The sequence below is a fragment of the Homo sapiens genome, chromosome 13, assembly GCF_000001405.40.
Source record: "Homo sapiens chromosome 13, GRCh38.p14 Primary Assembly".
NCBI lineage: Eukaryota > Metazoa > Chordata > Mammalia > Primates > Hominidae > Homo > Homo sapiens.
In genome coordinates this window covers 76,605,775-76,621,846 of record NC_000013.11, presented here as the reverse complement: position 1 = coordinate 76,621,846, position 16,072 = coordinate 76,605,775, and the positions used below count along the sequence as shown (strand labels likewise).

The 16,072-nt window shown below is 40.3% G+C and overlaps 1 annotated feature.

Moving 5' to 3' along the window:
* Positions 2,671–3,376: an enhancer, noted in NCBI's record as "NANOG-H3K27ac-H3K4me1 hESC enhancer chr13:77192606-77193311 (GRCh37/hg19 assembly coordinates)". NCBI's record gives its function as "activates a minimal SCP1, AML or CMV promoter by ChIP-STARR-seq in primed H9 embryonic stem cells {active_cell/tissue: H9 hESC(primed)}" and the evidence as "EXISTENCE:reporter gene assay evidence [ECO:0000049][PMID:30033119]".

Genomic DNA, 16,072 nt, shown 5'->3' with positions numbered 1-16,072 from the left:
GTTTTCCTAGTAAAAGGAAAAGTTCAGCCCCCTTCCTCTCTTACTCTCTCATACTCTGTTGCTCTTCTGCCTTCTGCCATGGAATGACATGGCAAGAAGGCCCTCCTCAGATGTTTGCACCTGGATTTGGGACTTCCTGAGCTCCAGAACTGTAAGAAATAAATTTATTTTCCTTATAAATCACCCAGTCTGTGGTATTCTGTTACAGCAGCACAAAATGGACTAAGACATCTTAATAATTTTTTATGATTAAAGTATATTTATGGTATTTACAAGGTGTTAGGAAACACAATTAAAATGTTTACCTACCATTAGTTGAACATTCTTGTTACTTGACATACATTCTCCCATTTTCTTGCCAGAGCAACCCCATAAGGTAGGCATTGTCACTCATGATTACCTTCTTCTTACAATTGAGACAACAGAGTCCCAGAAAGATTGAGAAATTTAAGACCACACAACTACTCTTTGGGTGGGTTGGAAAGTAATCCCAAAGTGTTGCTGACTAAGGCCGGTGCTTTTTTCTCTGCCAAGATTCAGCCAGCAACCACTCAGCTGCAGTTTATTCATTAATTAACGTACTTACCAAACATTTGTCAAGTCTCACAATATATTTACCGACAGGCTGTGGCAGTGCAGAGATGAATAAGATCCAGACCCTTCTCTGGAGGTGGAAGGTAAAGATGGTTATACGTGGAAACAGATGATTACTAAACAATGTGGCCACCACTGTCACAAAACTATGTATACAAAGCCAACCATTATAAGAAACACTTTAGTAATAATAGATTTTACTTATTTCTCCACTGAAGCCATTTTATTGGCATTCTTCAAGTTCCTTTATGTAAGTCAAAATAGGAGAGCTATTTAATAGCTTCAGTACTTCAGATTATAATAATTCAGGCTAGACATCTGCCAAGTTGTCCCACTCTAGTTAGATTTTACCTTATTTGTTTACACTAGTGAATTCTGGGCTAGGGACATTGTAAATGATAAAGCAAGCCAAGCTGACATTCCAACCAAGAGATGACTTGCATCCAGAGTATAAATCAAGAGATCTTTCTTCTCTTCCAAAAAGCCAGGGAAGCAGTACTTTTGCTACATCAGTATTCTACCATGTGGGTTAGTCTTGCAGACATTTTTCTCTGAAACCCCTTAAGAAAGGTATGATTTTGAAAGCAAACATTTTCTTCAGATTATAATTTTTTCAGGAAACATTTGTTTAGTTACTTTGAGGTAGTCAATGAGGCACTCCATTTCTAGCTTTCAAGTGCTGCTAAAAGCATTGGTATATGCAAGGGATGAACATTTCTTTGAAGAAAACCTGTTTTATTCTAAATCATTTCAACATCTATACATGGGAAATAAGAGCTACTCTGCACTTTCACAGGGCTTTAAATAGGTTCAAATGAGATAATGTAGGCAAAATATTTTGCAAACTCTATCAGATAAGTATTGTAGCTCTTATAATAGTAAACTTATGTGCTCCAAAACATACAGTTTATAAATTACAAAGTATGTGGTTCTGTGGTTTCGGTAGACAAAAGAATTTCATTTTTGAAATACGTTCTAGTTAATTACACATCTTAGTGGTATGAATGACTTCCTCTAGCATATTTGTTTTACAAGTTCAGGTGTTGAACTTTTTCATAGCAGGGCATACTTGCCCTGCTGTTTTAAAGCACATCCATTGCAATGAACTAATGTTTTACGTAATAATTCTGATTCACTATAACTAGAAGACATCTTGATAAACGCATATTTGGCCTTTCTAGAACCCCAGTGTATTTCAGACCCTGACAACGAAAACAAGTTAAGCTTTTAGCACAGCCCAATTAAATGTCTAAAAGCTTTTTAAAACCAAGTCTTCAATTTTCTGCAAAGCTAGACCCCTGGCTGTGAGAATGACATTGATGAGCAGTGTTATTGTCCCTGAACTGTCACACTGTACTTGAATCCCATTACAATTTGGTACAGAAAGCAGTCAGAATCAAATGATTAAATCTGAGCTTTGGTTGCTGTCAAAGTTTCAAGTGGCCACATAAAAGGAGACAAGCCTATGTTGTCAGCACCTAGAACTGACATAAATGTGCTGAAGGAATGGGTAATTAATTATCTTGTGTAGATTAGAGCACTGAGCACAGAGTGGTTCATGATGGGTCTTTATCTCTGGATAGAGCTGGCTGGTGTTAGCAAAAGTTTCTACTGGAGCTGTGCATTGCCTCTGGGAATATGTCAATACTTCCTCTGAATTCCAGTTACTCTTTCCAAAGGCTATAAAACAAGAGTCAATTTTGTGCGGGCCTCCTCGGAAAAGAGAGAAAAACACCCACTGGGCAATTGGTATTATAAAATTATCATACGAACGGTATTTGAGAATGATATGAGAAAAATAGGAAAAATAGGAGGCAGGCGAAACCTATTCTTCCATTTCCAGATAAATGGCAGAGTCTGACAATAAAATTTTATTGTTGATGAAGTTAGAGTGCTTTGATATAACAGTTTCAAGAGAGGTATAGAATGTCACAGATGAATTCTTCAAACCACAGACACCATCTGTGAAAATATACTGAGGGCAGGCATTGATAGAAGGCAGAGAGGACACTGGTCTTGAACTCAAAGTTAGGTTTGAGGATGAGCACTACTACCACTCATCCAGCAAAAGTGATTTTGCTTCCAAATTTTTTTGAGATTTTCATTTTGCTATCACATTATTTTTAAATTTCACAAATCTCCTTTTTTCTCTCAACATTCTTAAGTTTATAACCTTCTGTTCTTATTTTATGGATTAAGTTTTACTACATTACCTCTCTGAGGGTTTCAGTTATTGCTCATTCAAAGCTCCTACCTGCTTACCACATTGTTCCTGTTTCCCTTGAAGTTTTGTGTTTTTGTTTTTACTTTCTATATCTCTTAGATTCTCTTTCACATTAGATACTTTTCTCAAATGTCTTGCAATTGTTGGCTTCTATTCGTTTTAAGAATGAGGCAATAGGAGGGAGGAGCCAAGATGGCCGAATAGGAACAGCTCCCGTCTACAGCTCCCAGCGTGAGCGACGCAGAAGACGGGTGATTTCTGCATTTCCATCTGAGGTACCGGGTTCATCTCACTAGGGAGTGCCAGACAGTGGGCGCAGGCCAGTGTGTGTGCGCACCGTGCGCGAGCTGAAGCAGGGCGAGGCATTGCCTCACCTGGGAAGCGCAAGGGGTTAGGGAGTTCCCTTTCCGAGTAAAAGAAAGGGGTGACGGACACACCTGGAAAATCGGGTCACTCCCACCCGAATATTGCGCTTTTCAGACCGGCTTAAGAAACGGCGCACCACGAGACGATATCCCACACCTGGCTCAGAGGGTCCTACGCCCACGGAATCTCGCTGATTGCTAGCACAGCAGTCTGAGATCAAACTGCAAGGCGGCAACGAGGCTGGGGGAGGGGCGCCCGCCATTGCCCAGGCTTGCTTAGGTAAACAAAGCAGCCGGGAAGCTCGAACTGGGTGGAGCCCACCACAGCTCAAGGAGGCCTGCCTGCCTCTGTAGGCTCCACCTCTGGGGGCAGGGCACAGACAAACAAAAAGACAGCAGTAACCTCTGCAGACTTAAGTGTCCCTGTCTGACAGCTTTGAAGAGAGCAGTGGTTCTCCCAGCACGCAGCTGGAGATCTGAGAACGGGCAGACTGCCTCCTCAAGTGGGTCCCTGACCCCTGACCCCCGAGCAGCCTAACTGGGAGGCACCCCCCAGCAGGGGCACACTGACACCTCACACGGCAGGGTATTCCAACAGACCTGCAGCTGAGGGTCCTGTCTGTTAGAAGGAAAACTAACAACCAGAAAGGACATCTACACCGAAAACCCATCTGTACATCACCATCATCAAAGACCAAAAGTAGATAAAACCACAAAGATGGGGAAAAAACAGAACAGAAAAACTGGAAACTCTAAAACGCAGAGCGCCTCTCCTCCTCCAAAGGAACGCAGTTCCTCACCAGCAACAGAACAAAGCTGGATGGAGAATGATTTTGACGAGCTGAGAGAAGAAGGCTTCAGACGATCAAATTACTCTGAGCTACGGGAGGACATTCAAACCAAAGGCAAAGAAGTTGAAAACTTTGAAAAAAATTTAGAAGAATGTATAACTAGAATAACCAATACAGAGAAGTGCTTAAAGGAGCTGATGGAGCTGAAAACCAAGGCTCGAGAACTACGTGAAGAATGCAGAAGCCTCAGGAGCCGATGCGATCAACTGGAAGAAAGGGTATCAGCAATGGAAGATGAAATGAATGAAATGAAGCGAGAAGGGAAGTTTAGAGAAAAAAGAATAAAAAGAAATGAGCAAAGCCTCCAAGAAATATGGGACTATGTGAAAAGACCAAATCTACGTCTGATTGGTGTACCTGAAAGTGACGTGGAGAATGGAACCAAGTTGGAAAACACTCTGCAGGATATTATCCAGGAGAACTTCCCCAATCTAGCAAGGCAGGCCAACGTTCAGATTCAGGAAATACAGAGAACGCCACAAAGATACTCCTCGAGAAGAGCAACTCCAAGACACATAATTGTCAGATTCACCAAAGTTGAATTGAAGGAAAAAATGTTAAGGGCAGCCAGAGAGAAAGGTCGGGTTACCCTCAAAGGAAAGCCCATCAGACTAACAGCGGATCTCTCGGCAGAAACCCTACAAGCCAGAAGAGAGTGGGGGCCAATATTGAACATTCTTAAAGAAAAGAATTTTCAACCCAGAATTTCATATCCAGCCAAACTAAGCTTCATAAGTGAAGGAGAAATAAAATACTTTATAGACAAGCAAATGCTGAGAGATTTTGTCACCACCAGGCCTGCCCTAAAAGAGCTCCTGAAGGAAGCGCTAAACATGGAACAACCGGTACCAGCCGCTGCAAAATCATGCCAAAATGTAAAGACCATCGAGACTAGGAAGAAACTGCATCAACTAATGAGCAAAATAACCAGCTAACATCATAATGACAGGATCAAATTCACACATAACAATATTAACTTTAAATATAAATGGACTAAATTCTGCAATTAAAAGACACAGACTGGCAAGTTGGATAAAGAGTCAAGACCCATCAGTGTGCTGTATTCAGGAAACCCATCTCACGTGCAGAGACACACATAGGCTCAAAATAAAAGGATGGAGGAAGATCTACCAAGCCAATGGAAAACAAAAAAAGGCAGGGGTTGCAATCCTAGTCTCTGATAAAACAGACTTTAAACCAACAAAGATCAAAAGAGACAAAGAAGGCCATTACATAATGGTAAAGGGATCAATTCAACAAGAGGAGCTAACTATCCTAAATATTTATGCACCCAATACAGGAGCACCCAGATTCATAAAGCAAGTCCTGAGTGACCTACAAAGAGACTTAGACTCCCACACATTAATAATGGGAGACTTTAACACCCCACTGTCAACATTAGACAGATCAACGAGACAGAAAGTCAACAAGGATACCCAGGAATTGAACTCAGCTCTGCCCCAAGCAGACCTAATAGACATCTACAGAATTCTCCACCCCAAATCAACAGAATATACATTTTTTTCAGCACCACACCACACCTATTCCAAAATTGACCACATAGTTGGAAGTAAAGCTCTCCTCAGCAAATGTAAAAGAACAGAAATTATAACAAACTATCTCTCAGACCACAGTGCAATCAAACTAGAACTCAGGATTAAGAATCTCACTCAAAACCGCTCAACTACATGGAAACTGAACAACCTGCTCCTGAATGACTACTGGATACATAACGAAATGAAGGCAGAAATAAAGATGTTCTTTGAAACCAACGAGAACAAAGACACCACATACCAGAATCTCTGGGACGCATTCAAAGCAGTGTGTAGAGGGAAATTTATAGCACTAAATGCCTACAAGAGAAAGCAGGAAAGATCCAAAATTGACACCCTAACATCACAATTAAAAGAACTAGAAAAGCAAGAGCAAACACATTCAAAAGCTAGCAGAAGGCAAGAAATAACTAAAATCAGAGCAGAACTGAAGGAAATAGAGACACAAAAAACCCTTCAAAAAATCAATGAATCCAGGAGCTGGTTTTTTGAAAGGATCAACAAAATTGATAGACCGCTAGCAAGACTAATAAAGAAAAAAAGAGAGAAGAATCAAATAGACACAATAAAAAATGATAAAGGGGATATCACCACCGATCCCACAGAAATACAAACTACCATCAGAGAATACTACAAACACCTCTATGCAAATAAACTAGAAAATCTAGAAGAAATGGATACATTCCTTGACACATACACTCTCCCAAGACTAAACCAGGAAGAAGTTCAATCTCTGAATAGACCAATTAACAGGCTCTGAAATTGTGGCAATAATCAATAGTTTACCAACCAAAAAGAGTCCAGGACCAGATGGATTCACAGCCGAATTCTACCAGAGGTACAAGGAGGAACTGGTACCATTCCTTCTGAAACTATTCCAATCAATAGAAAAAGAGGGAATCCTCCCTAACTCATTTTATGAGGCCAGCATCATTCTGATACCAAAGCCGGGCAGAGACACAACCAAAAAAGAGAATTTTAGACCAATATCCTTGATGAACATTGATGCAAAAATCCTCAATAAAATACTGGCAAACCGAATCCAGCAGCACATCAAAAAGCTTATCCACCATGATCAAGTGGGCTTCATCCCTGGGATGCAAGGCTGGTTCAATATACGCAAATCAATAAATGTAATCCAGCATATAAACAGAGCCAAAGACAAAAACCACATGATTATCTCAATAGATGCAGAAAAAGCCTTTGACAAAATTCAACAACCCTTCATGCTAAAAACTCTCAATAAATTAGGTATTGATGGGACGTATTTCAAAATAATAAGAGCTATCTATGACAAACCCACAGCCAATATCATACTGAATGGGCAAAAACTGGAAGCATTCCCTTTGAAAACTGGCACAAGACAGGGATGCCCTCTCTCACCACTCCTATTCAACATAGTGTTGGAAGTTCTGGCCAGGGCAATCAGGCAGGAGAAGGAAATAAAGGGTATTCAATTAGGAAAAGAGGAAGTCAAATTGTCCCTGTTTGCAGACGACATGATTGTTTATCTAGAAAACCCCATCGTCTCAGCCCAAAATCTCCTTAAGCTGATAAGCAACTTCAGCAAAGTCTCAGGATACAAAATCAATGTACAAAAATCACAAGCATTCTTATACACCAACAACAGACAAACAGAGAGCCAAATCATGAGTGAACTCCCATTCACAATTGCTTCAAAGAGAATAAAATACCTAGGAATCCAACTTACAAGGGATGTGAAGGACCTCTTCAAGGAGAACTACAAACCACTGCTCAAGGAAATAAAAGAGGACACAAACAAATGGAAGAACATTCCATGCTCATGGGTAGGAAGAATCAATATCGTGAAAATGGCCATACTGCCCAAGGTAATTTACAGATTCAATGCCATCCCCATCAAGCTACCAATGACTTTCTTCACAGAATTGGAAAAAACTACTTTAAAGTTCATATGGAACCAAAAAAGAGTCCGCATCGCCAAGTCAATCCTAAGCCAAAAGAACAAAGCTGGAGGCATCACACTACCTGACTTCAAACTATACTACAAGGCTACAGTAACCAAAACAGCATGGTACTGGTACCAAAACAGAGATATAGATCAATGGAACAGAACAGAGCCCTCAGAAATAATGCCACATATCTACAACTATCTGATCTTTGACAAACCTGAGAAAAACAAGCAATGGGGAAAGGATTCCCTATTTAATAAATGGTGCTGGGAAAACTGGCTAGCCATATGTAGAAAGCTGAAACTGGATCCCTTCCTTACACGTTATACAAAAATCAATTCAAGATGGATTAAAGATTTAAACGTTAGACCTAAAACCATAAAAACCCTAGAAGAAAACCTAGGCATTACCATTCAGGACATAGGCATGGGCAAGGACTTCATGTCCAAAACACCAAAAGCAATGGCAACAAAAGCCAAAATTGACAAATGGGATCTAATTAAACTAAAGAGCTTCTGCACAGCAAAAGAAACTACCATCAGAGTGAACAGGCAACCTACAACATGGGAGAAAATTTTCGCAACCTACTCATCTGACAAAGGGCTAATATCCAGAATCTACAATGAATTCAAACAAATTTACAAGAAAAAAACAAACAACCCCATCAAAAAGTGGGCGAAGGACATGAACAGACACTTCTCAAAAGAAGACATTTATGCAGCCAAAAAACACATGAGGAAATGCTCATCATCACTGGCCATCAGAGAAATGCAAATCAAACCCACTATGAGATATCATCTCACACCAGTTAGAATGGCAGTCATTAAAAAGTCAGGAAACAACAGGTGCTGGAGAGGATGTGGAGAAATAGGAACACTTTTACACTGTTGGTGGGACTGTAAACTAGTTCAACCATTGTGGAAGTCAGTGTGGCAATTCCTCAGGGATCTAGAACTAGAAATACCATTTGACCCAGCCATCCCATTACTGGGTATATACCCAAAGGACTATAAATCATGCTGCTATAAAGACACATGCACACGTATGTTTATTGCGGCACTATTCACAATAGCAAAGACTTGGAACCAACCCAAATGTCCAACAATGATAGACTGGATTAAGAAAATGTGGCACATATACACCATGGAATACTATGCAGCCATAAAAAATGATGAGTTCATGTCCTTTGTAGGAACATGGATGAAATTGGAAACCATCATTCTCAGTAAACTATCGCAAGAACAAAAAACCAAACACCGCATATTCTCACTCATAGGTGGGAATTGAACAATGAGATCACTTGGACACAGGAAGGGGAATATCACACTCTGGGGACTGTGGTGGGGTCGGGGGAGGGGGGAGGGATAGCATTGGGAGATATACCTAATGCTAGATGACACGTTAGTGGGTGCAGCACACCAGCATGGCACATGTATACATATGTAACTAACCTGCACAATGTGCACATGTACCCTAAAACTTAGAGTATAATAAAAAAAAAAAAAGAAAAAAAAAAAAAAGAATGAGGCAATAAAATGTTAGTCAATTACTGTGTATAAATGAAAAAGCCATATCAATGAATAGCCTATCAAAAATGTCCCCTCTGCCCACCCTCAGTTGCTAGCATGTGTAAGTCCTTGGTTTAGTCAGTTTACTCTTTGAAAGGTGTAAACTTTTATACCAGCATTCTGGAGAAGTGAGCAGGAATTTCACCATTTACTTATTGCCTATATTTTCAATATAGCACACCAACCTCAGCTCTGCCTAAGGGTTGAGTCCAGAATCTTTTGATTAAGTCTTTTCAGAGAGTAAACCTCTGACTTATTACGGATTTGGAGAGATTTCTGAGGTTCTCAATGCAATTTTTTTTGTCTGTTTTGTTTTGGTTTGTTTTGTTTTAGATGGAGTCTCGCCCTGTCACCCAGGCTGGAGTGCAGTGCCGCAAACTGGGCTCACTGCAAGCTCTGCCTCCTGTGTTCAGGTGATTCTCATGCCTCAGTCTCTGGAGTAGCTGGAACTACAGGCACCTGCCACCACGCCCAGCTAAGTTTTTGTGTTTTTAGTAGAGATGCGTTTTTACCATGTTGGCCAGGCTGGTCTTGAACTCCTGACCTCAAGTGATCCACCCGCCTCAGCCTCCAAAGTGCTGGGATTACAGGTGTGAGCCACTGCACCTACCTGGCCTCTCAATGCATTTTGTTCCAATTTTCAATCAATCCCTTATTTTTATACCCCATTTGTTATCCTGCTCTGTTACAGGAGGTGTCCCCAATTCCTGAGCTTTTCTGTGGATCAGATTGGTTTCCCCCAACGGCTGGCAGTAAGGTCACCTTTCTCAGGTCTACTTGTTAGTCACTTCTTATCTACTAGCTTTGTAGTTTGCCAAGTTTTGCGTTGTCTTCTTCTCTGTTCTCTTTTTCTTTGTGGGTTTGTACCCTTTAAAAAATCTGCTGTCATCTAGTGGGGTTTGGGGAAGGAAATAACAAACATACATGTTCCATCTGCCATGTGTAACTGGTTTCCGTGTTTTATCCTTTAGTGTTGCTTTTTAAAAAATCTGGTTGTAAAAGTAATGTATATTATTGTAGGCAATTTTTAATTAAATTATAAATTATAATAAAAATACAGAAGCCTATTTTCTTAGGGCAATTAACATATTATTATTTCCTGAAGTCATTTTTTGGCTAGAATTAAGTTTTACATAGTTGAGACGATTTTGTTTCTCATTTCTTTTATTTTTTAATCAACACTATATGGATTTTCCATGTTATTAAAACAATTTGTAAACACTATTTTTATAAACTCCATTATCTTGATTTCAGCATACTGCCATTTATTTAGCTATGTGTCTATTGGACATTTGGAATGTTTACCTTTTCTTATCTTCTTAAATGAAAAAAAGGGAATGAAAATCTGTATATAAAGCATTTTTATTTTACATTTTGAAATATTTCCTGACAGAGCAGGAGCACCGTCGTCTCGGACAAACATCACCGCTTTAAGTTCCAGCTCCCTTTCTAGACTCATGCATTTCAAGGAAATCTCTTCTAACTACAAGCCAACAGAAAGAGCAGAAAGTAAAACACAGATAAGACAGCTTGGGCACAGAGGGAAATAGGAGGAAAGTCTCTTGGATAACTGCCAAACTTCCCTCTCATACAATGGGCCTCACTAAAACAGTGGGCCTTAATAAGCACATTCCTTTCCTTTCAGGTGCACTAAGATAGGGAAGCTAAAAGCAGATTCAAGGGATATGCCTGCAGCTGCAGAAAGAAGTATGGAAACAGACACAAAACTCTCCCCTCTAGATAAGCACAACAGAGAGACACAGAAGGAGAGTCCCAGCCTCTGATAAACTCTCCCACCCCGAACCCCTAAAAACTCTTAGTCTGTAAGCGAGTGTGGCTCTGACCTAGCTTGGCCAGAAGCCCCTCTCAGCTTTATTTAAAATAAACCTGTCCTTGTTGACTGTAAAGCCACCCTTCGTGTTTCTCTCCTCTTTCTTTAATTCTTACATTTCCAAAGACTAAATTCCAGGAAGTGAAATTATTGAGCCAAAAAATAACATTATTAAGGCCATTAATAGATATTAAAACAAGTATTATATATTTCAGCATTTTTTGGAAATGAACTCATCAGCAGAGTAGATACTTAGCTATTCCTAATTATGTAGCATTCTCTTGTCTCCTACCATATCATGGAGAAGCCAAATGGCAGCTAATGGCCATTGTCTGGCTTTACCTCTTCCCCTGTTCTCATGGCCAAGGCTGCCTCTGTCATTTGCAGGGCCTTAGGTCAAAGAACAAATGCAGACTCCAGTCTATAGATCTCCTACCTCTGCTTGTTATACCTGGCTCTGGCCTGGAGTACATATGTGCAAGTGGTCCCAACGGCTTATCCAAGTGAATCCATACCTTACCTACCCACATCTTGGATGTTTCTCAGGGCTTGGGGTGTCCACAACATAGTCTACCTTTGGGAGAAAAGACTTGAGCCAGGGAATTTTAAGATTTCAGTCCTCAGAATACTATTTGGGATGGAAGGTGGAGGTCATGCGCTCTAGGTAGGCCCTTCTTGTCCCATGGAGGCTGCCTTAGGGGGAGGGGTACAGCAGTAGACAGACCATTGTGGTTGCCTCCAAAGCGCAGGACCCATGTTGGGGGACCTTGTAGCCTACGTCTAAAGGCAGCATTACTTATAGCCTTTGCTAAGCTGTGCTTTGAAAACGGAATAATGGGACTAATCAGCCATGAGAATGAAGCAGCAGTCTGCCTTTCCTCCAAACATGGTCCATTTTAGCCTGGGATGGTAGGCAGTGGACGTGGGGAGGAAAAGGAACAGAGTAGTGTCTTGTTCTTTTTCTCCAAGCAAAAATAGATTGATAACCTAACACCACTACATCCAGTTCTCCTCTATGTGAGTGAAAAATAGACTCCACTAAATATAGCACTGTAGTAGGTTGGTGATATGGTTTGGCTGTGTTCCCACCCAGATCTCATCTTGTAATTGTAACTCCCACAATTCCCATGTGTCATAGGAGAAACCTGGTGGGAGGTAATTGAATCATGGGGGTGGGTCTTTCCTGTGCTGTTTTCATGATAGTGATTAAGTCTCACGAGATCTGACAGTGCAGTTTCCCTGCACAAGCTCTCTCTTTTTGCCTGCCTCCATTCATGTAAGATGTGACTTGCCCCTTCTTGCCTTCTGCCATGGTTGTGAGGCCTCCCCAGCCACATGGAACTGTAAGTCCATTAAACATCTTTTTCTTTCCAGTCTCGGGTATGTCTTTATCAGCAGCCTGAAAATTAACTAATACAGTTGGCCACCCAAAGATATTAAATCCCAGTACCTGGGACTTGTAAATGGTACTTTATTTAGAGAAAGAATCTTTGCTGGTGCAATTAAGTTAAGGATTCTTAGATGGGGAGATTATCTTTCATTATCTGAGTGGTCCCCAAATGCCATCACAAATATTCTTAAAAGAGACAAAAAGAGATAATACAGACACATAGAGGAGAAGGCGATATGAAGACAGAGTAGAGAGAGAGATGCAGCCATAAGCTACGAAATGCTAGTAGCTGCTGGAAGCTGCAACAGCCACAGAACAGATTCTCCCTAGAGCCTCCAGACAGAGTGTAGCCCTGCTGACACTTTGATTATGGACTTCTGCCTCCATAACTGTGAGGGAATAACTTTTTGTTGTTTTAAGCCACCCAGTTTATAGGAGCCATGGGAAACTAATGCAAGAATTATTAAATGAAAACTGTGGTTATCACCTTCCTTCAACCCCTAATACATGGATTTCAAAAAGCAGTGGAATTCTTAGGTCATGTTTTGTCTGGTCAAGGATTTTTGCAGAACAACAGGTAAAAAATTTTAATATCTTGCGTATGTGTCACTCAGGACAAGGATACCATAATTCCTGGGATTGTTGCATATTACCAGATATCAGTTCCTAATTTCTATTCCCCTAAGCAACATAATGAAAAGACTCTAGAGTTTTGAAATTAGACCTTGGCTTAACTGTTAGCTCTATGACTTACTAGTTTTGTGATCTTGGGCATATTATCTAACCTCTTAACTTGCAACATGGAAACAAACTTATCCTGGTCCCACTGTCACAGACACTTTATTAGGAACCATGTATTCTTCATGAAGATCTCCGTTGATGAAGTCTAAGCTTCATATATGTGTTCCTTTAATGCAGGCCAGGGCCTCATAAACTCTAGGTACTCAGTAAGGATTGTAGGATGAAAAATATGTTTTTCAAATTTTGGATTATTTGATTCATATTAAAATTTTATAGCTTAACATAGTTCTTAAACCAAAGGAATAACTCTTTAATGGTAGAAACTTATACATTATGGATAGCTAGTAAGGATAATTTTTTTTAGAAGAATAGCGTTTTATGTGTATCTTTCAGGAACAATCTATCCATAAATTAGCCCTTTTATGATTATTTCTGTTTCATTAGGTACACACACACACACACACACACACACACACAGACACACACACACACACATGGGAGAGGACCAAAGGAGTGCAGTTATTAAAATAATAAAGGATTTATCCTTTTATATTATTGCAGTCTGGAAGGGTTTACATTTAGAGCAAGTTTTATTTCCCTTTCTGTGAGAGAGAAATAAATTGAAATCCATGAGGGATAAACAATCCCCCTTATAGATCTTAAAGAGTGGAGTTGTGAACACTAAAATTTCCATGAACAGCAGCAGACAATCCCCAACTTATTAAATGGGATGGAGGCCAACATTCACAGCTACTTTTCTGCACTTTGCAGAAGTAGCCTGTCAAAGGAATCAGTCTTAATCTCTATTTCGGGGCATATGCTCCTTTTGACTTAGTTTGGAATTAAAATACTTATCACTAAACATTTTCAAATGCCCACTTTTAAACTTAATATGACTCTTAACATTTTATCACTGCTTTTGGAGGATCTGTAGGAGGTGGGGTTGAATTGCAAAATGATCATAGTGATAATAGTTCTTGCTGCTATAGAAGTATTACGGAGTGATAAGAAATGAATTCCCTGATGTGTGGACCAGAGGTGTTGCTGCTGGGAGGTCAAACAGCTGATTTCCTTTGTTTCTTTGTTCTGTGGCAAAGGGAGGATGATAAACAGGTAGATTCAGAAATTGAAAGCATCAAGAAACTGGAACTTGGTGTTCAAGTGGCTAGACGGTTATACAAGCTGGAATACCTCTTTTAAAAAAGGAAATTTTGGCTGAGACAATAGGAGTGGAACAGAGTCAGTGGTGTTGTGACAGATGTCTAGCAGCCACTCTCTGGAAAAAGAGACTCTTTTTTTTTTGGAAGTATTTGCTGATAATGTTTGTTCAGTAAATACTCCCAGGATGGCTGATTTTAAGCTTCCAGTGTGATGTCAACTGGCTCACAGAATTTCTGAAACTTTAGCATTTGACTCTGGCAAGCTGGTACAAGCTGGATTCAGCCCACCATTGGAAGGGTACATGCTGAAATGGGCTGTTGTTTTTCTCCTGCTGGAATCCTCCAGTACAAGCGAAAGTGGTTTAGTGGAATAGGTCAAGTCTACTAGCATAGCGTCTTGGAGCATATTTGGACATTGGGAGGTCAGGAAACTGTGCGGCAGTATTTCTAATGTGTGTTTGACCTCACACATGAATTGTTGTAGGTAGTAGCATTTTAAGCATGTGTTGGTGTGGGTGCAAGGTTATTGTGAGTTTCGTGGACCATTTAAATGGCTCTGAGGACTAACCAGGATGGCATCATGAGGCATATGTCTTTTGTGGACAGTGACCAAGTATATTGTGTTCTGTCCTTGTAGAACCAGGTAACAGCTTTTTTGCCTCTAGAGACACCAGGAAACATATATATATTTTTCATCATACTTTAAGTTCTAGGGTATGTGTACACAACGTGCAGGTTTGTTACATATGCATACATGTGCCATGTTGGTGTACTGCACCCATTAACTTTTCATTTACATTAGGTATATCTCCCAATGCTATCCCTCCCCCCTTCCCCCACCCCACAACAGGCCCTGGTGTATGATGTTCCCCTTCCTGTGTCCAAGTGTTCTCATTGTTCAATTCCCACCTATGAGTGAGAACATGCGGTGTCTGGTTTTTTGTCCTTGCGATAGTTTGCTGAGAATGATGGTTTCCAGCTTCATCCATGTCCCTACCAAGGATGTGAACTCATCCTTTTTAATGGCTGCATAGTATTCCATGGTGTATATGTGCCACATTTTCTTAATCCAGTCTATCATTGATGGACATTTGGGTTGGTTCCAAGTCTTTGCTATTGTGAATAGTGCTGCAGTGAGCATACATGTGCATGTGTCTTTATAGCAGCAGGATTTATAATCCTTTGGGTATATACCCAGTAATGGGATGGCTGGGTCAAATGGTATTTCTAGTTCTAGATCCCTGAGGAATCGCTACACTGACTTCCACAATGGTTGAACTAGTTTACAGTCCCACCAACAGTGTAAAAGTGTTCCTATTTCTCCACATCCTCTCCAGTACCTGTTGTTTCCTGACTTTTTAATGATCGCCATTCTAACTGGTGTGAGATGGTATCTCATTGTGGTTTTGATTTGCATTCCTCTGATGGCCAGTGATGATGAGCATTTTTTCATGTGTCTGTTGGCTGCATAAATGTCTTCTTTTGAGGAACGTCTGTTCATATCCTTCACCCACTTTTTGATGAGGTTTTTTTTCTTGTAAATTTGAGTTCTTTGTAGATTCTGGATATTAGCCCTTTGTCAGATGAGTAGATTGCAAAAATTTTCTCCCATGTTGTAGGTTGCCTGTTCACTCTGATGGTAGTTTCTTTTGCTGTGCAGAAGCTCTTTAGTTTAATTAGATCCCATTTGTCAATTTTGGCTTTTATTGCCATTGCTTTTGGTGTTTTAAACATGAAGTCGTTGGCCGTGCATATGTCCTGCATGGTATTGCCTAGGTTTTCTTCTAGGGTTTTTATGGTTTTAGGTCTAACATGTAAGTCTTTAATCCATCTTGAATTAATTTTTGTATAAGGTGTAAGGAAG